General features: G+C 33.7%; 1 protein-coding gene across 5 annotated transcripts in view; it reads left to right on the top strand.

The window, feature by feature from the left end:
* Positions 1 to 27,550, top strand: part of DACH1 (dachshund family transcription factor 1) — a 429,239-nt gene that overhangs the window by 365,553 nt on the left and 36,136 nt on the right. For all 5 annotated transcript variants that reach the window (NM_004392.7, NM_080760.6, NM_080759.6 and 2 more), the window contains 4 exons: positions 12,504 to 12,655; positions 22,336 to 22,483; positions 25,803 to 25,946; positions 26,443 to 26,511. In NM_004392.7, coding sequence (NP_004383.4) covers positions 12,504 to 12,655; positions 22,336 to 22,483; positions 25,803 to 25,946; positions 26,443 to 26,511 — 513 coding nt within the window. The remainder of the gene's footprint in view (positions 1 to 12,503; positions 12,656 to 22,335; positions 22,484 to 25,802; positions 25,947 to 26,442; positions 26,512 to 27,550) is intronic.

Below are 27,550 nucleotides of genomic sequence, written 5' to 3'. Positions count from 1 at the left end.
ATATACATAAAATTAGAAGAGTACTGAATTCCCATATGCCTACCCATCATTTTGTTTTAACAATGGTCATCTCAAGGCAAATCTTGTCTCATACTTCCACCCAATTTCTTCCCTTCTTCCAGAGATTTTTGAAGCAAATCTCAAACATATGCTCTGTAATCTGTACATATTTTTAATGTTTTTCTTTTTTGTTCTACTTTACGTTCAGTGTATATTTTCTAAAGATGGGTAAATCTTTTCTTAAATCACAAACACATAATCTTTATCACTCCTAAAATCTCTTAACATTTACTAAATATCCCATTAGGCTTCACATTTCACCTGTTTTCATATATGCGTATATGTGATGACTGAAAAACCAAGCACTGCTAACATACTTAAAGAGGTTTATTCTGAGCCAATGTGAGTGTCTGCAGCCTCGTGTTACACAGTCTCAGGAGGTCCTGGGAAAGTGCGCCCGAAGAGATCGAGTTATAGTTTAATTTTATACATTTCAGGGAAACGGGAATTGCCGGGAAAATCATAAATCAATACATGAGAGATATACATTGGTTTGATCTGAAAAGGCAGGACATCTCGAACCAGGGGCTTTTACAGTCATAGGTGGATTTTAGAGACTCTTTGATTGACAATTTCAGTTGAGAGAGTTAAGCTATTGTTTAAAGACTTGAAGTTCGTAGAAATGAATGCTTAAGTTAAGATAAAGGGGTCTGTGGTCCTATGATGCTCTAACAGAGTCAGATTGGAAACTGAGCCACAATATTCAGGCTTAATTTAAAAAAAAACCACTTTTTAAGTAGATTCTATGATTTGTAGGGCATGACTCCCTAGGCCTCTTAGATAGAAGTTTGAGTGAGAGAAAAAAAAAGGCCAGAGTTCAGTCTATATATGTATATTTGTGGGTGGCCATATTCATGGAATCATTCAAAATATTGTGCTTTCCATGTATTTCGTCTAAATTGACACTTTATCTTTTAATGAGAAAAGAAATGAGAATCTTCAGACTTGGGTTTGAAAAACTTTGGGTCAATCAGTTATTGGGCTTGTTTCATCTGAAAAATGAAGAATGTAGATGAGGTGATTTCCAAAGGCCTCTTACATTTTTTATAATTCCATGATAATTTTAGTCTAAAAGTTACGTGCAAATTAGACTTTGAATATCAGTCCTCAACACCAGAGCTAGTGTGTATTTCAGGGGTATTATTTGAGAATCGTTCTGTTTTATTCACATAGCAATGACACTCATTTTCGGCTTGGAGACTCATAAATGAATTAGAGCTATGCAGAGCTGATAAGAAGAGAACAGGGTATCAAACTATGGCACCCTGTGATGGTGCCTAGCATTTCTCTTCATTTTTGCTTTACTTCTAAAGTCATATTAACTTTGAAAAGGCCTTGGATTTATGAGACAACTCTTCCTCCCTCCCCCCGAAAATTCTCAAAGCACATTTCAGAAACTCATTTTTGGCAGATGTAAATTTAAGTAAATTGGCCAAGGTCACAGCACAATAAGGGCAGAGTTATCAAGGGAATGCAGTTTCCTGCTTTTTCCACCATCCATGAAATTAGAGTAACTCCACCCCTTAAAATAAAAGGGTCTACTTTTTTTTTTCTTTCTGAAATTATAAACCTTGATTTGGAAATTTTTTTTAATCATTAACTCAGACTTTCAAAAGTGGTCATTTAGAGCTGTGGAATGTTTATGGGTGCACTATGCATCTACTATTACTATTACTGAACATCTTACGACCTCTACAATTTGTTTTAAAAGGGAGTGCATTTTTTGTTTGAGCTGAACCATCAGATTTTCTTTTCATGCGGTATGACATGAGGAAGAATCTATCTGTAGGCACAAAACTGGTTCACTTTCTATGGGCAAGCGCAGACTTTAAAGTAGATTATTAAAGTACACAGAAATAGAAAATTAGATCAGAAGTGATGTTTTACTGTGAGGTCTTCTTTGGGCCTTATAAAACGAGAAAGAACTAACCTTGTTCTATTTCTGAGTTCTGAAAAAAAAGCCTCATAGCAGGCATATCACCTTTAATTAGGTTTCTGCTTTTGGGAAGCATTTTACCAGCCCCCTTTCATTTATTTTTAATGATGTTATCACTAACAGGCAAACAGTCCCTTAATAAAACAAAAACAGTTTCTATATAAAGCCTGGTGTACATGTTCTGAGTCAGTCATCTAAAAACAAATGTTATGATTGTTTCCGTTGTGCTCTTAGAACACTTAATGGCCCTACTGTGCAGATATGCAAAACATCAACCTAGGAAATATAACCGTGTCTGTTTTGCAGCTTTCAATAAATGCTTTCCCATATTCACCTGCAGTATCAGCAGTGAGGTTAAACCTACTGGGTCATGGAAATGACAGAAAGGTCAATTAAGTGAATCTTTTCAGCCTAAGCTATGCCAGTTCTTGCATAAACACTGATGACTTATGTCAAGCAGATGTGAATGCAACCCAAAATATTTGAAAGTTAAATCAGTGTGTGTGTGTGTGTGTGTGTCTGCGTGTGTGTGTGTGTGTGTGTGCGCGTGCTCGCATGTGTGTGTGTTTAATGCTTGGTGCCATTCCATTTTTTTCCAAGAAATTTCAAATTGTCAAAGGAACAAAAACCTCTGTACACAGATACCCGAGTTCTCAAGTTTTGTCTCCTCAGATGAGTTTGCTAAGATAATGATGGATTTGCTGTCAAGGCCAAGATTGGAAATATTAATAGATAGCTTGATCTTAGAATTTCTGAATACAGAAATTTTTGAAATACAGATACAGAATAGCCAGAAACTAAAGATTCTTTTTTGAGCATAATAATAGAAAATATGATTTCCCCCTAAAAATACAGTTTCTTCAGGGAATTGGGGTTCCTGATTTTCTTGAGCTGTTATCCTTGCATGGTTTCCTCATACAACCTCTTGACCTCCCTCTAGTTAAGTCTTCCCCAAAATTCAGTGCCCGTTTCTTGCCATGGTGGTTTTTTTTTTTTTTCTTCTTTCCCCTTTCAACTCACATCATCTAAACAGAATCTCTTCTTTTTTCTAAATAAGCACCAGGTGCCATTTGAATCACTCTTTTGGCATATAACCTTATTGAGATTATAAATGCATGCATTTAAAAAATTTTATTCCTAGAGCTTCCTCTTAACTCAAGATAATGTCTGTGAAATTGCCTCGTAATCAATAGAGTGGTTTTCCAATAGAAGGTATTTTTAGTTTTACTATCATGGATGTGGTATAACCCTGGGACAGGCAAAGACTATATCCTTCTCATTTTTGCAGTCTGTATTCCTCCAGCTTTTGCTTTGCCTTATCTCATTCACATATTCTTTCAGTAAATATTAATAAGTACTTACTATATGTTAGGTAGCTGCGACTAGATGATCGATTTCCTCCTCAAAAGAGTGGTCCCCAACTTTCATAAGCATCTCAAAAGAGAACTATTCAAAAGTTAAGACTCACTGATATAGGTGATAGTTGCATATAATAAGCGTGGAATACATATGCATTAAATTAGGCAACACTGTGAGTTTGGTGTATTTTTGTAGCAAACCTCCAACATTCTGCCAAACACAATGATTTCATTCCCATATATTTTTTTTTCTTTTATTCACTCAAACTCAAAATTCAGAGTTCTAATGCTGCTTGAAGTATATCCAAGAAGCCTCTTAAGTGGTTTTATGTTATTCACAGTCTATTTCTGCAAAACCTGTACTGTGTGTGTATGTGTGTGTGTGTCTGTGTATCTGTGTGTGTGTGTGTGTGTGTGTGTGTGTGTGTGTGTGTGTGTCAACACATATTTCCTCTAGGTCCTGCCACCTGAAGAGAAATTGATAAACCAGTTCATATTCTTTGCCCTTTCCCAAATTATTTCTATCAAAGTCAATTTTAACCAAACTAACTCAGGGTTAGTCCATATAAGGAAACTGATGTATACAGTAATAATTCTTTCATCAACATTATACATCTTCATCAAAGCCTTATCAGAGAGACATAATATAGAAACTACAGACTTAGAGCAGGGGCGCAGTGGCTCACGCCTGTAATCCCAGCACTTTGGGAGGCCGAGGCAGGCGGATCACCCAAGGTGGGGAGTTCGAGACCAGCATGACCAACATGGAGAAACCCCGTCTCTACCAACAAATACAAAATTAGCCCGGTACGGTGGCCCATATCTGTAACCCCAGCTACTCGGGAGGCTGAGGCAGGAGAACCACCTGAACCCAGGATGCAGAGGTTGCCGTGAGCCGAGATTGAGCCATTGTACTCCAGTCTGGGCAATAAGAGCGAAACTCAGTCTCAAAAAAAAAAAGGAAGAAACCACAGGCTTATGGTACAAGAACAGAATTTCCTCCGTGGCACATTGAAGCCAAGTTTCCAAAATGAAATTTATAAAATGTATAATTGATTGGATTATTTGTTAATTATTCATCCATTCATACTTTATATTAATATAGTATTTTATATTTTACAAAGCACTTTCACATGCATAATCTAATTGGATTTAAACTATAATCCTTTGAATTGGTAATCATCGTTTTAATAAATAAATGAAATGAGTCTCAAATAAGAGACAGGTTCTTAGCTCTAAAATTTGCTTGTACTTGGTAGAGCCAGGACTTGAATTCATACTTTCTTAATCAAGCCTGGTTTGCTTTTCATTTTACCATAGCTGTATCATGTCTTGCATTTTGGTGTCAATTTTATAAAAATTTCTGGAGTAACTTTAAATCCAGAATTTGAAGAATGGGCATTAAGTAAAATATAGGAAATAAGTTTTATTCCCAAATACCTCTAGATATTTTATATGCATCAGCATAGATATATAAAAGTCATTTTGATAAATTTTAATGTGATATTTCAGAATTCCTTATTTTCTGAGAAGATGGAGGTAGAAAGAAAAAACATTTACCTGATAATTTTTTCTCCTTTTTTTATCTGTATATATTCTTGTGGTACAAGTGTAATTTTATTATATGGATAGACTGCATAGTGGTGAAGTCAGGGTTTTGGATATCCATTACCTGAAAAGCCTACATTGTACTCGTTAAATAATTTCTCATCATGAACCTCCCCCATTCCCACACCCTTCTGAGTCTCAATTGTCTATCAGTCTACACTCTATGTCCTTGTACACATTACTTAGCTCCCACTTATAAATGAGAACATGAAGTATTCATCTTTCTATAACTGACTTGTTTTAAGATAATGGCCTCCAGATCCAGTCATATTGCTGCAAAAGACATAATTTCATTCTTATTTATGGCTGAATAGTATTCCATTTTGTCTATATATATACACATACACAATATATATATATGTTGCATATCTTTTTGTGTGTGTATATATATATATATATATATATATATATATATATATATATATATACATAGCAATTTTTTTGTTTTTTGGGAGACAAAGTCTTGCTGTGTCGCTCAGGCTGGAGTGCAGTGGTGCCATCTCCGCTCACCGCAACCTCTGCCCCCTAGGTTCAAGCCAATCTTGTGCTGTGCCTCAGCCCTCCAAATAGCTGGGATTACAGATTCATGCTACCACACCAAACTAATTTTTGTACTTTTAGTAGAGATGGGGCTTCTCCATGTTGGTCAGGCTGGTCTCTAACTCCTGGCCTCAAGTGATCCACCTGCCTGGGACTCCCAAAGTGCTGGGATTTCAGGCGTAAGCCACTGTGCCCGGCCTGTATCACATTTTTTAATCCAGTCATCCCCTGATGGACACTTAGGTTGATTTTATATTTTTGCCACTGTGAATAGTGCTGTAATAAACATACAAGTGCAAGTATCTTTTTGATATAACGATTTCTTTCCTTATGGGCTGGTATCCAGTAGTGGTATTGCTGGGTCGAATAGTAGTTTTCTTTTTAGTTCTTTGAGAAATCTGCATACTGTTTTCCATAGAGGTTGTACTAATTTACATTCTCACCATAATGTATAAATATTCCCTTTCCTTTACACCCTCATCAATATCTGTAATTTTTTCTTTCTGTAAAATTTATTATTAGTATCTACTGCTAAATTAAGCCGAGAGTGCCTAGAGTGAGAATGAATCAGTACTGAGGTTACAATTGAGCTCAGTTTAAACAACTGTGTTTTATGTCTGGAAATAATTTTCAAAATTTTTTAGGCACCAACCCTTAATCTATAGATTATTTATACTTCTACTCCAATTTAATATGTCTAGTAAGTTTGCCAAAACACTTATAAATGTATCTTTCTGTATATTTGTGATGGACATTTATTAATATAATAAAATTTTATATTTTTATAAGTAATTGTTTACTTCTGTATGGAAACTATTTTATTCTCTAGTATTTTGCTAAAATCTTCTTCACTTTGCCAGTATAGAAATAGAGAGTTTTCAAGGAAACTCCCAGATCTGTTTTAAACATTAAACATGGAGATATTTTCCATTTTAATAATACTGTATACTTCAACTCGAAATGAATAATTGTGAATCTCTTTGTAATGTGTGCTTTTCTAGAAGTGATTGAGTGTTTTTCTATTTGGAATTTGTGATATAATAAAAGACATTAGAGACCAAAACACACAGACACACATTAACTTGAAAGAGAATATATAATCCAAACCCAAAGGGATTAGTTATGAAAATAACAACTGAGTTAGATTTTATTAACAGGAAAGAAAACATTTTAAAAGTAGAGGCCCATTATTTTTTTAAACAACATTGTTCCTTAGGATATCCTGCTAAATTGTTATGTGTGATAAGATTGGAGAGAAAAATACTTTGTCTTACAGAGGCATCAATCTTACTGATAGTCAGTTATTGATAAGTGACTTAATTTTTAAACATTTTCTTCTCTTCCATTTCTGGTTTCTCATTTTGTTTTCTATTATTCTAATTGACTGTATGTTGTTATAATTATCAATGTATTTATTATATAATTATTAAGATGTTAATAAGTAGTTTTTCTGGTCAAGATTATAATATGTGCTGCTTTATTTTTCTTTAGAAAACCACTATAGTTTCAAATAACTGAATTAAAAAACAAATAATTCTTAACTTACAATGGCATTACATCCTGATAAAACCCATCATAATTTGAAAATATTGTAAATTAAAAATGCATTTAGTACACCTAACCTACCAAACGTCATTGCTTAGCCTACCCTACCTGAAATGTGCTCACTTACATTAACCTACAGATAGGCAACTTCATCTAACACGAAACTTATTTTATAATAAAGTGTTAAATATCTCACATACTGCATATTGCTAACCCAGGGGAAAAAAAGTCAAAATTCAAAACTCAAAGTATCAAAATTGCAATGGTTTTATACCATTGTAAAATTGAAAATCGCAATGGTTTCATACCATTGCATATTGCTAACCCAGGAAAAAAAAATCAAAATTCAAAGTATCAAAATTGCAGTGGTTTTATACTACTGTAAAACTGAAAATTGCAATGGTTTCATTCCACTAACAACTTAATGTAGAGAACTAGCATAACTGCCAGACCCTACCCATGTGTAGTCCTCTAAAAAATAACAGTATTCTAGTTACTGCATCTTTTGAAAGTGCTTAATTTTTTTCCTAGGAAGATGCACTTTTTGCTGCATCTGATTTGCCATCAAAGGTATTGGGAGTGCTGCCTTATAGGTGACTGAACTGTGATCTAATTTAATAAAAGAAAACAAGATAATTTAAGAATCTTATAAAGTGGAGCTTGTAAACCTAAGTAATTAATAACTTGTTCTGAAATTTTACTTGTATGACTCATTCTTTTTCAGATATTACATAGATATTCATAAATCTTTGAAATTAATAATTTTAAAACTTTTAAAATTTCTAACTCCAAACTGATACATTGTTACTCTTCATCATAATAGGTGAGAAGCCCACTTAAATAATTTTTTATAAATTTTTATAAAAAGTATTAGAAAATGTGGAATTTTACATTTGTGTGGTCCTACATTTGTCTCATTTAACCTGATATTTTTTTGTAAATGAGGAAATTGAATAGAAAGAAGTTGTTCCACGTCCAAAGCAGCTAATACTAACTGAACATTTAAGTTATTTTTATTATATTTGCCAGAGAAAAAGTTACATACTGTTTTAGTTATCCATAGCTGTGTAATAAGTTATACCAAAACTTAGTGGCTTAAACCAACAAACATTTATGTAGGATTTATGATCCTACAGTTTCTGTGGCTCAAGAATCTAGGTACAGCTTCCCTGGGTGCTTCTGGTTTAAGGTCTCATGGGATTGCAATCAATCAACCTGTCAGCCAGGGCTGCAGCCATTAATGCTTTAACTGGTTAGGAAGAATCTACTTTCAACCCAACTCGTGAGGTTGGCCCTCAGTCCCTTGTTGCATGTACGTCTCCACAGGGCTGTCTCATGTCATGTCAACTGGTTTGACCCATGGCAAGCAATGCAAAAGAAAGAGAGAGAGAAATGGAAGCTAGACATTTTATAACCAAATCTCTGTCTCTGAAGTGACATCTCATGTTTGTTGTATTCTTTTTGTTAGGTCAAGAGAAAAGGACCAGACAGGGTGTGACTAACAGGATAAGAAATCATCACAGTCCCTCTTAGAGGCCACTTCGTGCTTACTACATGCCCATAAAAAAAAAAAAAAACTCATTAAGAACATGTCACAAAAAAGTTAAAATATTTGTTATGTAACTACCGTAAACAAAAAATCTCAAAAATAATACAATTGGAATGTGGACTCTTGATTAAATCATCGTATTCTTCATATGTTATTCTTGCTGATTTTGGACTGTGTTTATGTAAGAGTGTGTCCTTGTACTTAAGAAATATACACTGAAATCTTAAGGCTTAATTGGGGAAGATGGTTCAAACATATGCACCCTCCCTCACACCATACACACACACATACACTCACACACACACACACACACTCACACACACACAGAACAAGAGAGGGAGAGAAGCAGAGAGAGAATTTAAAAAAAAAAAAGTGACAAAATGTAAACAATTGGTGAACTGGAGTTTTATTACTTTTCCAGAGCTGGCCATAACAAATGACCTTAACCCTGGTGCCTTAAAACAACAGAAGTTTATTATCTCACAGTTCTGGAGACTAGAAGTCCAAAATGAAGGTGTCAGCAGAAATGAGCTCCTTCCAAGGGCCATTTTTTATCTCTTTTAGCTTCCAGTGGTTGTCTCCCTTCCTTAACTGTAGGTGAAACATTCTAACATCTGCCTAGTTTTCACTTTGCCTTTTCTCTTCTCTGTGTCTTCTCTTCTGCCTCTTTCAAACCTTTCTCTGCTTTTGTCTTAAAAGACACTTGCCATTGGATTTAGGGTCCATCCTAAACCAAAATGATCTCCTCATCTCAAGATCTTAACTTAATTCCCTCTGTGAAAACCCTTTTTTAAAGTAAAATAACATTACTTGTCGTTACATGTCAGGAAGTATGAATAAACATATAGTTTGCGGTCAGCCATTCACACATTACAGGACTATGAAGGAATTCCTTGTACAATTCGTGTAACTTTTCTGTAAGTATACAATTATTTTAAAGTAAAATGTTTTTTAAGAAAACAAAAAAAAACAAGAAATTACATTGTCAAATGCTATACTAATCCAAAAATCATGACATCTGACTAGCCAACTTTCTCTTAAAGATAAGCTTAGAAATATGTACAGATATATCAATGAGAATAAGGTATTTTGTGAATTTGTATTTCATCATCATTCACTCTTTGAAGTCAGTGGAGATTATGTGATGTCAAAACTCTCTTCTACATTGGCCTCTCAAACTTTTGCTTTAATCTTCTTAGAACATTTAGGAAATCAAAGGTCACTTTTATTTCAAAAGGTGGAACCATGGTCCCAATATTACAATCTTTGTAGGAAGAGCTAAACGAAATCTTCTATGATATTAATTGCCACAAGATGACAACTTTATGTCTGATAATAGGGTCATGAGACCCAAAGGAATATTCTTGTTTGTTTGATCTTCAAGTAGTTTGTTTGTGTTCTTTTCAAAATTGTGTATTGACTTTAAGAATCATTTTTTCGCTTCTTAAACATTCTGCCCCAAATTTGCTAATTTCTTATGTACATATTGAATTAAAGCGTCCTTACGTAGTCTCTTCGCTATGTAAGATGATAAATGAAGGAATCCAATTAGATAAGTTTGTAACAAATAATAGCCTATTCTCATACAGCTGAAACCACGAGGCCCAAAATGAGCGTTCCATTAAAACAGCTGCAGGAAAAAATGTGCTTACAGGCATGCACGCACACATGTACATATATATATACAGAATTTTACTGCTATATTTGGATAAATGGAGTATCTGAAGAAATAATGAGTGAAGGAAAACTGTATTAGTGGCTATAGGAATTAGCTATTTAACAATTGAAATCAGTCACTCTAGGCTACATGAGCCTCTTGAGGCTTTCTGTTTGTGTTTTTAGCATTTGATCTCCAGTATCCAGCACATTGTTTATGTTAAATAAATACTGGCTACATAAATTTATGCATCATGAGTGATTTAATGATTTAATCCACACAACAGCCAAATGTAGTCAAGCATAAATGCACTGAAGTTAAATCAAATAATTATGGGGATGATGAAACTTATAGCCTAAATGTGTGTAAATGTGTACACATACATATGATTCTTTATTTTCTTGGACAGTCTTTAATAATTGTGGAATCATAGATTCTAAAGCTGAAAGCAACTTCAGGTGGTCATCTGGTTCTATGCCTTTCTTCAAGAGACAAGCAATTATTATCCCCATGATCTATTAAGCCACATTTTCTTTAGCATGTGACAGCTAAGGTGATGATGATCGAAAGATATTGCTCTCCATTCTTAAACAATTTCACATGCACATATATGTTTAACAAGTGCCTTTCCAGAGCTATTATGAGAAAACACTAGCAGCCTTGGTTTGGAAGAGCAATTTATGATAGCTAGGTAAATGGTGTCCAAGATCACCTTGCTCACATTAGCCATGCAGCATCCCTGCCCCTGCATGGCCATCTTTCTTTAACCCTGGTGACAAGTGTGATTAAAAAGAAAAATAACATGAGTCCTACTTTAGTTTGCTTACTCTGTTTCTTCCTCTAGTACTTGCTGCCTCAGATCATCTGTCTCAGTAAGTTAACATAGGAGGAAGTAGAAGGAGAAACTGCAAAGTCGTGAGTGTGAGAGGAGTTAATAGGAGGCCTTCTGGCCGTTACTCCCCTCTCCAGCTTTTCTTTCCTTTTGGTTTATTAACTAGAAATGTGGCAAGGTGAGGGAGATGAATTTAACTTGTTCTGACATTAGTGAGGGACAGGGAAGTGTGGCAGCTTCTACAATATTTCTGCCCCAGAGAGACGTAATTGGAAAACGTGTTGTGTGGTTAGATGGTGTAATGAAAAATAAAAGAATGATTGAGGAGAACAGTGGAATCAAATTATAAGCATAAGGCAAGTGTGCTGAAGTTTTTAGCTACTTGCAAAATTGAGAGATACTATCGGGACTGTGCAAATACATTGCTCTGATTAATTTTCCTGGGGTGAAATATGAAAATATTTATAAAACTGAGGATCCTGCCATGAATAAAATTTTCTCTGTGATTATGATAAACTAAAATAAGCCGTAACTTGTATCTATCTTATGTGAAACTGTAAAAATGGTTAAACAATAAAGAAAACTGAATAAAAGGATTTCACTGTGAGAGGTGAAAAGAATCTGTATTCATGAGTTACTCTAAATTGCTTAAAAATTTGAAGAATATTCAATAAGACTAGTTTATTTTGAAGGGATTTTTAAATTTGATTCCCTGAATGTTGTTATAGAAGTAGCATTTTATTACTCTTCCTTTATACCGTTTTTTATGTATGGAAGCTATAATTTTTCAATATGAAGGTAAAAGGTCTTCAAGTTCAAAAAAATTATGTCTTTAATTTTAATGATGATGAATAATTCAGTTATAATTTAGAAATACATATTTGGATTCCAGTTTTTCTTTTTAGGTGTAAAGTGAAAGATTTTAACTTTACATTCTTTTGTAAATTCCTTAAGAATATATTTGAACAAACATTGATATAAAGGAAGGGTTAATAGAGAAAGAAGCTTCCTAATATACAAAGCCCCTCTCTTATATGGAGCTCTAGAAATACTCTATTGTCAATCCAAACAGAACAAACTAAAAGGAGATAATTGGGAAGGTGCCCATAAAGTCAGCCTGAATATATTATCACAACTATATATGAGATAATATTTGTTTTAAAAAGATTCTATGGCACTGTAAACTCAGTCTCATTAGAGACTGCATTTAAAAGGCTTATAAAGTTACTCATTAATGTTATCTTGTTGTATCTCCACAGCTTTTTCATTAAAGAAAATTCAGCAGAAAGCATTTTCTCCTGATAGCAGGAACCAATTTGCAATAAATGTTCTGGAAACCACTAGGGAAGCCATTACTGAGGTCTAATAAAAACAGACAAGCGTAACTTGTTCTATATTTTTGTTTCAATCACATGCAGATGAGACCCCGCTTTCTACACCAACCGCAAGAGACAGCCTTGACAAACTCTCTCTAACTGGGCATGGACAACCACTGCCTCCAGGTTTTCCATCTCCTTTTCTGTTTCCTGATGGACTGTCTTCCATCGAGACTCTTCTGACTAACATACAGGTAGGCCTTTTTACAACCTGGAAGAAAGACATATGGAACACCCTGTTGTAGATTTTTTTTTTCCAAAATTTATACTGTTCCTACTTAATCCCATTAGACTGACTGAAACATGGTATTAAACTCTTCAAGCAACTTAGATTTTAAACCTGTTACACTAATCAAATTAGCTTAGAAATACTCATATATATATATATATTCATATATATGTATATTAAGCCATAATAAAAACTTAGATGAAAATGACATAGGCCTTTAAAATTCATTCTGTCTAAAATGCTCTCTTTATTACCAACTAATTGGAGGAATTTAACTGTTTAAGTTTGTCTGATTTTACTAAACAACGGCACACTAGTTCTAATAAATATTTAGTTATTTTTAAACTGCTGGACTTCTAGTGAGGAAATGATATGTTTAGTCATTTAAAATATGTCTAATTTAGAAGAATCCAAAAAAATGCCTTCTTTCATAAATAAGTTTGTTTCAATTAATAGAATTTCTTCAAAGACTAGACTTCAAAAAGCCTTACCAAACTTTCCACGGATTTCCTATGTGGTCCTCAGGATGTATATTTTATGTACAGTACATTATGAATCAAAAATACTTACAGTTAACAATAACATAGAGTGTGGAGCCAAGATAATAAGAGTGTTTGGGATAGAAGAAAGCATAATTTTCTTGCCCACACATGAAGTGATCATGTGGACCCCAGATGGAGATTTTTGTCATCTACTTCTCCATATTTGGGTAGCTAGTGAGTAGTAGGCAGAAGTTGCTGATAGTGTGCTGGTAAGCTCCTTTTTAGAAAAATTCTTTTACTCTAACATTCCATCCTCAGTAATATTTTTCTGTACACATATCCTATCATATTAAAGTTTCCCCCAGTGGAAATGTAATTAATTTTATTTACCTCTCCAAGGACATAACAGAAGGCCTTTAATGTAACATATCTTCTCATCTATTAATATGGCATTTTTTAATACTAATGTAATTAGAGTCTCCAGAACTGTATTCAACTTTAAGGTTTTATAACTCAGTAATTGAAAATCATCAATCCAGCCTATACTAAATCATGGCCAAATAGTCGATTATATAAAACAAAAGACTTTTCTTTCTAAATTTCACCCATATTATTGTTTATTATAAGATAGTGCTTTTAATGAATTTTTCTTATGTTAAGGTAAATGTTTTCAGAAAATATCCCTTAACATTTCTGAATTTATGTTCTGAAAAGTAAAGGAATAATTCATTTTCTTATGTATAAAACTCAATATGAAGCAAAAGAAAAGCTATTTGCATGGATTGTCATTAACTGAAAGCTCTTTAACCAGGTCAGTGAGGATTTAATTTCAATTTCAGCAGAGAAAACGTTTCTGGGTTTCATCAGTGTAAAACAGCATGCTCATCTGAAGAGCAGGTTTGACACATGGACTCTTGAATTGTATATGACCACTACATTTCAAAGTCAAATCCTCTCAGTTTGGAGTATTCATCCACACTCTACGGACCAGAAATACTCAGATTAGGAATGTTATCCACATCACCTCGAACTATAATTATTTCAGAAGGAAGAAAAGAAAAAATAAAAGAAAGAAAGAAAAGAAGAAAAAGAACACTCCAGCTTTAAAATGTACACATTTTAGACAAATTACTCATTGTAGGTGGCTCTAGATTTAATATACTCTCCTTTCCTACCATATGCCTTCAAGACATATTTTCAAAAGAGTAGATAAAAGGACAATGGTCAAGACAAGCTAAATAATTTATTTCTATTCCCAAATTATAGGGATCTGGGACTGATAAAGTTAGAACACCCAAAATAAGAATGCTTTATTAAAAATAAATTAAGGGTCGGGTGCCGTGGCTCATGCCTGTAATCCCAGCGCTTTGGGAGGCCAAGGCAGGTGGATCACCTGAGATCGGGAGTTCGAGACCAGCCTGGCCAGCATCATGAAGCCCCGTCTCTACTAAAAAAAAAATACAAAAAATTAGCCAGGCATAGTGGCAGGTGCCTGTAATCCCAGCTACTCGAGAGGTTGAGGCAGGAGAATTGCTGGAACCTGGGAGGTGGAGGTTGCAGTGAGCTGAGACTGTGCCACCACACTCCAGCCTGGGCATCAAGAGTGAAACTCCATCTCAGATAGATAGATAGATAGATAGATAGATAGATAGATAGATAGATAGATAAATAAATAAATAAATTAATTAATTTAGCTTGTCCGCTTCAATCTTACTTATATGTATGTGTATATATAGATGCAGTTATCATATATTTATATGTATGTCTAATATGCATATGCATATATTTATACATGCATGTACATATGTGCCCACAAGGTGAAATAAAAATTAAAAATCCTACAGAATTTCATGCACATGTATATTATAAATATATATATACACACACATACATATACAAACACACACATATTTATTGTTAGTAATGATTTCATATCATTTTACAAAAGCTTGCAGATGCTAACTCTTTTACTATTGTCACATTTACTGAGTTATGGTATTATCATAGGAATGGTATGGAATGTTTAAACAGTCATGACCCCGGATTATTAGGTATACAGTATAAATGTGATTGCTGTCCAAATTCTAATATGGGTAATTACATTCTGCCTACCTCAATTTCCTCTGCAGTTTCAATTATATATAATAGGGTTCTGTGCTTTCTATGCCAAAATGGTACATACTTTTTGTGTAGTAAGTTTAAAGTTCCATTTTTTAAAGATGTTATTTTTTATTAAAATTAATGACCAAAAAACCCTTTAAAATAACGTGTTTTCATAAAGTGTTATTGTTCTAATGATCAATAATTTATATATTATAATTTAAAAAGCCTGGATTTTTAAATTTGTAATGATTACCACAGATGTCCTTTCCATGACATCATCATCAAAATTAAATTTTTGTCAGTTATTTCTTTGTGTTTTAAAAGAAGATCTATAGAAAAATACTATAATTATATGTGAAAATTTTGTGTTTAAATTTTTATTTTAAAATTTAAATTTATAAAATGTACATATATATAAAAATTGGGCACCAGACTTTTGTTAACTATTTGAGCTATACTGAATTCCTGCATTTAAGTGTTATAGAAATTAAAAGTTAGCCAGGTGCAGTGGCTCATGACTGTAATCCCAGCACTTTGGGAGGCCTAGGTGGGTGGATCTCAAGGTCCAGAGATTGAGACCATCCTGGCCAATATAGTCAAACCCTGTCTCTACTAAAAATGTAAAAATTAGCTGGGTGTGGTGGCACATGCCTGTAGTCCCAGGTACTCAGGAGGCTGAGGCTGGAGAATCACTTGAACCCGGGAGGCAGAGGTTGCAGAGCCAAGATTGCGCCACTGCACTCCAGCCTGGCGACAGAACAAGACTCCCTCCAGCTAAAAAAAAAAAAAAAAAAAAAAAAAGAAGAAAAGAAAAGTTATAATGAATGAAGTAAAAAGAAAAAAAAAGACCTGTAAAAAAAATCCTATGTTGATATATAAAAAATTATATTTAAATTTTATATTTAGAAATTTATAAAATTTATATATATAAAAAATTGGGCACCAGATTTTTGTTACTGCTTGAGCTATACTACTTCCTGACATTTGAGTGTTTTAGAAATTAAAAGTGATAATGGATACAGATATCTAGAGTAAAAAACTAATTTAATTTAGTGAAGAATATGGATACAGTTCAGTTTTTGATTTTTAGAATTGCTTTTATTTTTTCTATATGGCATTTTTTTTTCATTGTGGTCTATCTTTCATTATGGCTTCCTCTTTCAATCCTGTCCATGGAGAACAACCTGTGAGATTTTATGTAAGGAGACTAAAATTTTAGTATCAGTTAACTGGATATGACACCGTCAAACATGAGCTACCATTAGAACATGATCAAAGGATAATTCTGCTTACTCTTTTTTCTTTTTTTTTTTTTAAATTTAAGACGGAGTCTCCCTCTGTCGCCCAGGCTGCAGTGCAGTGGCACCATCTGGGCTCACTGCAACTTCCGCCTCTCAAGTGATTCTCCTGCCTCAGCCTCCTGAGTAGCTGGGAGTAGCCTCCCACCACCAAACCTGGCAATTTTTAAAAAGCATTTTAGTAGAGATGCATTTCACCATGTTGGCCAGACTTGTCTCAAACTCCTGACCTTAACTAATCTACCCACCTCCCAAAGTGCTGGGGTTACAGGCGTGAGCCACCGCGCCCGGGCCTACTCACTTTTTAAAATCTAGAACCTTTTGGCACATAGGGTTGTGAACAAATTATTTACTTTGTTTATCTTGTTACAAAAAGGCTTTAAAAAGTGGCTTACAAACATTAAAATAAGAATAGTTAAATAACTAAAAAGTGAAAATGTAAAGTTTAAGTAGAGAATATAAAATTTAGTTAGGAGTGAGGTTAGCATTGAAGATATTTGCCATGAGGGGATATATGATTGGAGTTTGGTTCACTATAGTCTACCTACATGGAAGAATTAAGCAAACAAGAAAGACCTAAAACATATGTTAAAACCACAATAGCTTCAGCTTGGCTGGGTGCTGTGACTCATACCTGTAATCCCAGCACTTTGGGAGGCTGAGGCAATAAGACCACTTGAGGCCAGGAGTTTGAGACCAGCCTGAGAAACATAGGGAGACCCTGCCTCTACAAAAATACAAAAATTAGCTGGGCATGATGGGGCATGCCCACAGTCCCAGCTATTAATATTCATGAGGATGAGGCAGGAGGATGGTTTGATCCCAGGAGTTCAAGGCTACAGTAAGCTATGATGGCACCACTGCACTCCACCCTGGGTGACTGAGTGAGACCCTATCTTAAAAACACATACACACACAAGAAATGGCAGCTCCAGATTGATTCACTATAGCCTAGTAAATGGACATAATCCAACCATGGTATCTAGGAGGAATTATTCTCTACTTCTGTGTTTGTGGGAAGAAAATGAAAAAGAATTAAGTATAAGACTGAACTATAGTCATGCATCACTTAATGCTGGGGATACATTCTGAGAAATGAATCATTGGACAGTCTTAGAGTTGTGCAAACATCATAGAATGCACTTATACAAACCTAGAGGATATTGCCTAGTATATACCTGTCTATACAGTATACCCTATTGCTCCTAGGCTATGTACCTGTATAGCAGATTACTATATTGAATACTGTAGACAACTGTAACACAATAGCAAGTATTTGTGTGTCTAAACATAGAAAAGGTACAGTAAAAATATGATATTATAATCTTATGGGACCACCATCATATATGCTTGCGGACCAAAAAGTTGTTATGGAGGTGAATGACTGTACTCTGATTATCTATCTTCAGTTCTTTACATTTCAATATCATGGCCAATAATTTTACTTTACTTTTCAATATATTTTAAAATAAAATAATAGTTTCCTTATTTACATTAATATATAATTTTAATTATAATTTAATTATAAAATTATAATTATAAAAATTATTGTAATTATAATTTTATTATGTATTCATTTATATTATATTAATATATTATTTATTATAAGGTATTATTTGTTATTTATTATATTAATTTTTATATAAATATAATAATTTTAACTGTAACATTAAATTTAATCATAATTTAATTATTGATACATAATTTAATTATAATATATAATTATATATAATATTAATTAGGAGAAGACTTTGCATAAACCCCAACAAAATAGACGTTGAATTCAAAATATGGGGAAGCTAATATCAAATATATTGGCCCTACATTATATGTTTTTATTTTCAATCGTAATTATATATTATGAGTCTTCTCTTCTTTGTTCCTGTCATACATCGGCGTTGCAGGACAATAATCATAGCATTAAAGAGTATGGTATTATATTTTGTTACAAAAGCTTCTCTGAAAATGTGTCAGTTGGGCCGGGCGCCATGTCTCACGCTGTAATCCCAGCACTTTGGGATGCTGAGGTGGGTGGATCGCCTGAGGTAAGGGGTTTGAAATCATCCTGGCCAACATGACAAAACCCCGTCTCTACTAAAAATACAAAAAAATAAGCCGGGTATGGTGGCACATGCCTGTAATCCCAGCTACTTGGGAGGCTGAGGCAGGAGAATCGCTTGAACCTGGGAAGCAGAGGTTGCAGTGAGCCGAGATCGCGCCATTTGCACGCCAGCCTGGGCAACAAGATCGAAACTCCATCTCAAAAAAAAAAAAAAAAAAAAAAACTGTCAGTTGATACTGTACTATTGATTATTTGTTTGTTTTTTGGTCTACAAAAGTTCCTGATTCCAAGGGACATTATTCTTTTTCTCCCTGAAAAGAGACCAGGGAAACATTAAAAGAATAATAAAGAAGACTAAGTAGCTGGACAGTTCTGATCTAGGCACACTCAACTCAGTATTTGGGATTTTCAGTCAGTCTCTTGATTCTTCTGCATCTTGGTTTTCTCATCTTTAAAAGTATTTGGTTAGGATGGTGATTGCTAAAATCCTCTTCAACTAAGGTGTTTTAATTTCATTAGAAGCAACACATTATTGAGAACAAATTTTATCACATGAGTTTCAGTGACACTCGAGAAACCTTAGATATTGTCTGATTCTGAAATAAATTTATGTTAAATACAAACATGGATCAAGTAAGCTTCTCCTCCAGGATCTAGCTAGGTTATTAAGAAATGTTTCTTAGCAGTATTATTTGAAGTCTTCTTATATAGACAGATATTGTACTTTCTAAGCCGTATCAACTGTAGAAACATTGCTAGATACAGTACCCTTTAAAAAAAAAACTCAATCTCTAAAAAATGATGAAAATAATTTACAAATTAGATTATTTTAGAAAACAATGACATTTATGTAGTATAACAACCATTATGTCTCACTCAGAAAAAAAATTTGGGGTCAATCAACTATTGTCTCTCACCATTGCTGTGGCATAAACTTAAAATGTATTTCATTAGACTTGTCATTAACCGACTTCAGTATCCTAAGAACCATCCTCCCCTTGGAGAAAAAATCATGCTTTAAACCTTCTATCGTTTTTTGTCATTCACATTTTTGCCACAGCATTTTCTGGATATTGCATGTCCAAGTGAGATGCAGCATTTAACGTGACCGTTTGCACGTGATCAACCTGGAAATTTTACAGAAGTTACACAAATCTGAAAGTATTATTATCATTGATGGCTACAATGGTGTCCTAAAGATTTGTAGATGTTCTGAACACTACATCCTATTGCTTTTCCCAGCCCCCTGCTGCACTGAAATTTAATCCGTTTTCTGTATTTTTTGAAGCAGAGCTGTCACTGGCGGTAACATACTTTTGCATATGCATCAGTTTGGCTCTAGTACAGATTTTTGTTCACACTGGACTCCTACTGATATGCACTGATACAAAGTCTAAAAATTACATTTAATTTTATATAGCTTATAAGTAGTCCCAGAGAGTATTGGATCCTAAAAGCTAATATTTTTCAGACATAATCAGCAGGAATAGGTAATGTATTACCATTAGTCACATTAGCAGCAATTGTAACAAAAGGAAACAGTAAACATAAATGCTCTCAGCAACTTCATTCTTTACAACGAATATTAATATAAAATTACACAAATTAGAGTTGCAGTTTAACATTATTCAACATGTTTATTCATAATGATTGTTTCACATTTAAATAACACCAAAATATTGTGTTTTGTCAGCCAAGGACAATAATAGTTTAATAGTAATTTATTTTAAACAGCTACTGATAATACAACCAATCAACACATTAAGTGGTGCCAACATTGGCATCTTGCTAAATAATCTCTAGACATTGCACACAGAGTACATCTTTCAAAGATAAGTCAACAAGAGCAATCAGAGCAGAAAATTAGAATTTGGTATCTTAGAATTAAAATACAGCTAAAGTTTTAATTGGGGTGATCTAAAAGGGCACTTGATGTAATGATCTCTTTCATTTGTTACTAATTGTTTGTTCCTGACGAAGAAGAAGCCTACACAGGAATGTTGTTGAATTGAGTTAAGATGGCAGTTTCCTTAGCAGCTATGTTTTACTGTTAAACAAAAGAGTGGGGAGGGGCAACCTGCCACGGAGAAATCTTTCTTCAGCTTGTTTCATATCACAAGAATTATACCAGGAGATTCAGGGTCAGGTATAGCAAATATGGAATAATTTGTATGTGGTCAAAAGAGAATAAAATTGGCTTACAGCAATGCTATAAACTATATTGGTAGACTGAAGTAAAACTATCTGTCTATTGCGCTTACAAGTCAAGCTGGAGTAGAAATTCCTGATTCGAACTGCTCACAATGTCTTCTTGCAAGGGAGTCACATCCTAGAGTACATCTACAAATGACATCAACTTTCATCTCATTTTAACTTCAGTTGAAAATTTCAGTCTCTGACACTCACAGACCAAGGCAAAATATCTTCTACTTCAAAAACTCATTTTGTATTGCTGAATTGAAGAGAAGTTTTAGCTCTAATTTTTACTAGTAACTGTTTCAAAGTATCTTAGGAGAGAAAACAGAGAATGCTTTTTATATGTTTAACATATTTCCATATCTAATTTTCAAGAACCTTAAAATACTGCTAATTTTTAAAAGCATACAGTATGTCAAAATATATACATATTTATATATTCACCATTAGTTGTATGAATAAACTTTGCTTTCTCCATATGTTCTTTTAAATTATTATGCTGTCTAATCATTTCCTAGAAGTTATCCTGAGTTTATTACAACCATCTTGAATGGCTTTTTAAAAAGTAATGCACTACTAAACCAAGTTTTAGATCGCTTAAATATATTACGTATCTCAAGAAAAATGTAGCAGTACTATAATTGCTATTTGTGAAATTTTAAAATCTAGTATATAGTAGGCACTTTCTGGGCCCTGGGGGCATAGTCCTGAATGAGAGAACATGTCTCTGCCCCAGAGAGCTTACATTTTAATAAAGAAGACATAACATAAATCAGTAAACAAATAAATATATGTCAATACCACATAATGATACATTCTATGAAGAATTTTAGGGAGGGAGTAATAAGATACATTTGGAGATAGGGTAGTAAGAGATGGCCTCTCTTGAATGGTGACTTTGAGCAAAGATGAAATGAAATGAGGGTGTGAGCCATGCAAAGATCTGGAGGAAAAGCATTCAGGAAGGGAACAGAAAGAGCAAAGTCCGTGGGGGCAGAAACAAATTGTTGCATTGAGGAACCAAAAGGAGACCATTGTGGCTATGTGCTCATGGTAGGGAGTGGGAGAATGAGCTCTGAGGAGAAAGGTGAGCACTGCCAGAATCCTGGAAGGTTGCATAAACCATGTCAGATAATTACTTGTGGAGGAGTTTCAGCCTAATTTCCTTCTCAGTTCTTATTTTTTAGACATGCTTATGTGCTGCCCTTATTTAGCTTTGGATCTAGATATTCTAATTAGAATATCTACTTAGCTTTGGATCTAGATATTCTAATTAGAAGCAATTAAACCTGCATGCCATAAATATTTGTCTTCCGAAAATAGTTTAATTAGACTTAGGAGTTTTATGCTTTAGTTATAGTATTTGTTCTAGTGAGTGCAGAGTGAATGCGAAAGAATTAGGTCATTTGATCACTGGGTTCTTTGCTTTGAAAATGCTTTTAAGTAATGAACGAAATTTGCTTTGTATTAAAATATTACCATTCCGAATATCTTCTTTGTACAGGGGCTGTTGAAAGTTGCCATAGATAATGCCAGAGCTCAAGAGAAACAGGTCCAACTGGAAAAAACTGAGCTGAAGATGGATTTTTTAAGGGAAAGAGAACTAAGGGAAACACTTGAGAAGCAGTTGGCTATGGAACAAAAGAATAGAGGTATTTCCAAATTTCCAGATAAGTTAAATATTTACAGAAAATATTAAACATATTAATACTATGATGGTGATTTATTTTGAAATTGTAGTATTTTTGTTAATTTAACGGTAGCTAAAGTTCAGAGCAGAATTTGAATCCTAGGCTCATTGTATTTCTTAATCTCCAAAGTACATGTTTTCTTTTCTGTTCCTACCTCAGGAAATTGAAATACATCCATTACATCATTAATTATATAACTTTTATTGATTGTTGAGTTTAAAAATTCATGTTCTTTAAGATAAGAATAAACTCTAATGATAGCCATGAAGAAAAATTTTATGTTAATTCACAATTGCCCTTTGAAAAACTTGAGTTAAACTCATAAAGCTAAAATAGAAAATACTGATTATTCAAGTGAAGCAGGTTTACTAAGATATTTATCAACTGAAATTGAAAATGGATGAATATCTGAACAAATGACCAAAGTTAAATGTTTGTATAATTTTCTTTCTGAAGGCCTCATTTTCATCCAACAAGGTCAAGTACACAGAGTAGAAACTGATATAAATTCTTATTGGATAAAATAATATTATTGATCTGTGAACTGCTTCTTTTGTCACACTGTATGGTGCATCTATAGATAATTTTGAAGGTCATTTATATTTGCATGTTTATTTTATGTATGAATTTGAAGATTATTTTGTCTACAATCAACTGCCTCTTTGCTTCAACTATGCATTTAATATATATCCAATATAAATGCTCCACATTATTTTCCTTTATATGTTTGAAATGGTCATTTAAAAATAGTTGTTTCTATTTTGTCTTTAAACTAGCAGGATTTACCAGGTTGTTTTATTAGCTATTACGAAGCAACAGTTAGTGTATTCCTGGAAGTTGGTCATTTTGGGACACTGTCATCTCAGATGTATAGCACAGTTCTAAATAATGTGGCTTCACATAGATTCAGGTATTTAAATAATCAAAACAAGGTAAACATTGATAATGGCTGTATTCCAAGTGAATAAATAAGTTGGGTCAAAGAACTCAATCTATGGAACCAGCTTCCATGAGACAGCCATGTTTTTATTTTGTTCTCACTTAATTTTGTTTAGTCCTTTTTTACAGAACTTAAAAGCAGGCCCGGGGATTCCTAAAGTAACCCTTTGGTTACTGGAGAGACCTTCAGAATTTTATTGGTTCAAACCTTTTGGGAGGATTTACATTCTGTTTTCTTTCGTTAACCACTAGAGGGCAAAACATTCACAGATCACACCGTAAAGTTCCCATTTAATTAATTACGAACAGTAAATTCAAGGCAATAACTATCAATACTTATCTATTATGAATGTGCCTATTGAAGCAGTGTATCACCCTGAAGAGAGAGAACATGACGATCCCATTTGGTTCAATCATGTAGGAGGAAACTGTGAGCGGTCAATGGCAAAGTGCAGGGTATTAAGCCTTTAGAGCCACAAGAGTGTACAATCCAAATAAATATTTCAGAAATTACTGTTTCTTTACAAAGAGACTCATAAATAATCATTTTTGGAAAGGGAAACAGTAGGCAGGTAATTTTGTTAAGGTAAGCACATGATTTGCACACCATTAAATAAGGGAAATTAACGTTTAAAATCAGTTTCAATTTCTTTTCGTATAACACCATAGCCAGTGTACATTTTGATACAAACAGGTTTTTAAAAATATATGATACAGCAACAATACACCTGACATGTAAATTAGCTTCCATCTTAAAAATATTAATAATAGGCCGGGCACGGTGGCTCACACCTGTAATCCCAGCACTTTGGGAGGGCGAGACGGGTGGATCATGAGGTCAGGAGATCCAGACCATCCTGGCTAACAAGGTGAAACCGCGCCTCTACTAAAAAATACAAAAAATTAGCCGGGCGTGGTGGCAGGTGCCTGTAGTCCCAGCTACTTGGGAGGCTGAGGCAGGAGAATGGCGTGAACCTGGGAGGCAGAGCTTTCAGTGAGCCAAGATCGCGCCACTGCACTCCAGCCTGGGCTGGGCAACAGAGCGAGACTCCGTCTCAAAAAAAAAAAAAAAAAAAAAAAAAAAAATATATATATATATATATATATATAATAATAAAAACAGGATTATGTGGAAATTAGAAATTAAAACTAAAATACTTGAGTCGTTATTATTTTATAATTTGATTATTCTGCTTTAAAAATGTTGCTGTTCTTTAATCTGTAGTAAGAAATCAAACAGTAAATATGGAATGATTAGTCTTCATGACTAAGAGAAGCATTTTCTCATACTGAGTCTGTCACGTTGATATCTACAATGTTTATCAACCATCAACAAAGATAATTTTAAAGAAAAATGCATATTCCCATATGCTGAGTAGTTACCATATGTATACATATATATGTAGTAAAAGTTAAAACAATTATCCTCCAGAAAACATAGTTGATATACATTTTGTAAAGAACAGTAGTTATTATTTATCGAGTATGTATCATATACAAATATTTAAATTGTCCAGTTGGAGAAAAATGTTTCATAATCAACTTTTTGTATTATCTATTTTTTTAAATATAAAAGGCTCATTATTGTTACCAGCAGCATATTATTATTAGCAATGGGGGTTCATACTGCCTCAGATTTCTGCAGAGTGAAAGTAGAATAATTTTCTTAAAATATATCATAGTACTGTAAATTTGCTGTGAGAAAAATATTCTCAGGAAATCATCGTAACTTCATCCAAACAAAAACATTTCTGTTCTATACATTAACAATAATTAAAAGTATTTTTTCTAGTGTACAAAAAATATTTATTACATTTCCTAAAATTTTAAGAAAGAAATTATTAAAAACTGAGTTGGTCTAACATTGCTTTCCAAAGCGTTTTTAGGGGAGATGCTCCATTTGCTGGTCAAAATTGATGCCCTATGAGGAAATAGGAAGGAGGCATGCTTATAAGCGTTTGCACTATCCAAATGACTCTGCACTATTGTGATTCAAGGACAGAGAACTAAGCCACAAAATTCATTTAATCAAGCTTCCTTTATCAGTGAATACAAACATTTACTAAAATTAGTTTCCTATTAAATTTATCTTTACATATGGCAATTAAAGCCATTCTTGTAATGTAATAGTTCTAGGCTAAAATAAAAATTGGCTTTCTTATTATTTTACTGGGAATTATTTTAGATAAAGGTGGAGATTTTTGGAACTTTCTTTTTATAGGTAGACTCAGTTCAGCAGGAAAACAAAATGAATAATATAAAAAATATAGACCATTTGGAAATTAGCAGCATTATGAAAATTTAAAAATAATAATAATAATATGCATACACTCTTTTTTAGCCATAGTTCAAAAGAGGCTAAAGAAGGAGAAGAAGGCAAAGAGAAAATTGCAGGAAGCACTTGAGTTTGAGACGAAACGGCGTGAACAAGCAGAACAGACGCTAAAACAGGCAGCTTCAACAGATAGTCTCAGGGTCTTAAATGGTAAGAGGGTGTATATTATTGCATGAATAACTGTCATTTTTAATGCTTAAAGGACAGTTTAGGCATGTGTTTGTAGTTTTGTATGTTTCTATATCTTGTGATTCATTCAGCTATACTTGAAGCTGAAAGCAGGGTGGGAAGAACGTGTTGGGGAAAATGCCTTATTTTATAGGTGCTTCCACTGTTTTTTACTGAACTCCAGCATCTGGGACTTGGCATTACTTCTCTGCTTAACCAGATTTTTTTCTACTGAAGCACAATAAAATAGTAATTTGAGAATTTCCGAACCCCATCCTCTTTTATGAACAATGTTGCATTGCTTACTGTTCAAATCTTCCGAAAATTCTTACGGTTACAGTTTTTGTTCAACCTTTAAAAGATGACAAAGATTTACGTAATTTTAATTCAGCACCAAAGTAACAGGTTGCTCTTTTTTTTTAAAGGACAATAGGAATCAAATGAAATATGTGTCACTCTTACCTTTCTGTGCTTTTAGACTCTCTGACCCCAGAGATAGAGGCTGACCGCAGTGGCGGCAGAACAGATGCTGAAAGGACAATACAAGGTAGGAATTTGCAGAAGGCTATAAATCTAGATCTTGCTATATGAGTTTTTCCTCAGCTTTAGCCTGCTATTCAAGCATGTAGCCTACCATCTGGGCCACATCAAAACAAGTTCAAACAAGGTCAAGTTCATCTTGCTTGTTTATATGAGTGAATTCATTTTGTGCTGATAGATTTTCTTTAAATTAACAGGTCATCTCTGTTTATACAATGCAATTAAAAGGAATAATTAATTTTAAACAATGTATGATTTAATCTTGGACACAGTAAATGTGCTTTATTGAATGTGTGAAGCCCAGTCTAATGCAGGAAGGGTTTATAAGTTCTGTGCTACATAAATAAAATATGTGGTTAATCAAATAGGTAGTTCTTACAATTTAAAAATGTCTAACTACTCATTTTTATGACAGTTACTGCAAGGTACCTGCAAAATAGACTAGTTGAATGTTAACAATAAATAAGACTGTTTAGTTCCTATGTGGATTCCAAATGTTCTGTATGCCATTATATACACTTTAATAACACAAATCTGCTGAGTAAAATCATATATAGCATACCAAAGGGAGTTGTATTAAATGCTCAGAAGAGCTAAATATGTATATTGTCATGATCGTACTATTAGAAAAGAATAAAACCAGAAGGTAGCATTTATAGGCAAACATCTATTCCAGACGACAAATTCAACCTAACAACATGAATACTAAACAGTAACAAGAGCATTTGTTTTCTATTTAAAATGAAGGTGATTCTTCAAAGGGATGCCTAAAATGATTAACTGCCATAATCCTCCCAATTGCTTTTATTCTGCATTTTAAACTCAATCATTTTTAGGATATCATATGACGTTAATTGTGTTACTTAATCAGCTCCAAATATGTCATTCTTGGCTTAGTGTAAAGGAAATATACTTTTGTAAACTATCATATGTGCAAGAAGTAACAATCACAAACTTGAAGAAACATTTTTGAGGAAAGAATGGATTTTTTTTTGCCTATATTTATTTTACCTGAGGCCATTCTAATTAATTTGTAAATCCTAAGG

Source organism: Homo sapiens, chromosome 13 (genome assembly GCF_000001405.40).
Source record: "Homo sapiens chromosome 13, GRCh38.p14 Primary Assembly".
NCBI lineage: Eukaryota > Metazoa > Chordata > Mammalia > Primates > Hominidae > Homo > Homo sapiens.
The sequence above is the reverse complement of the archived record's forward strand: the minus strand, read 5'-3'. Positions and strand labels throughout refer to the sequence as shown.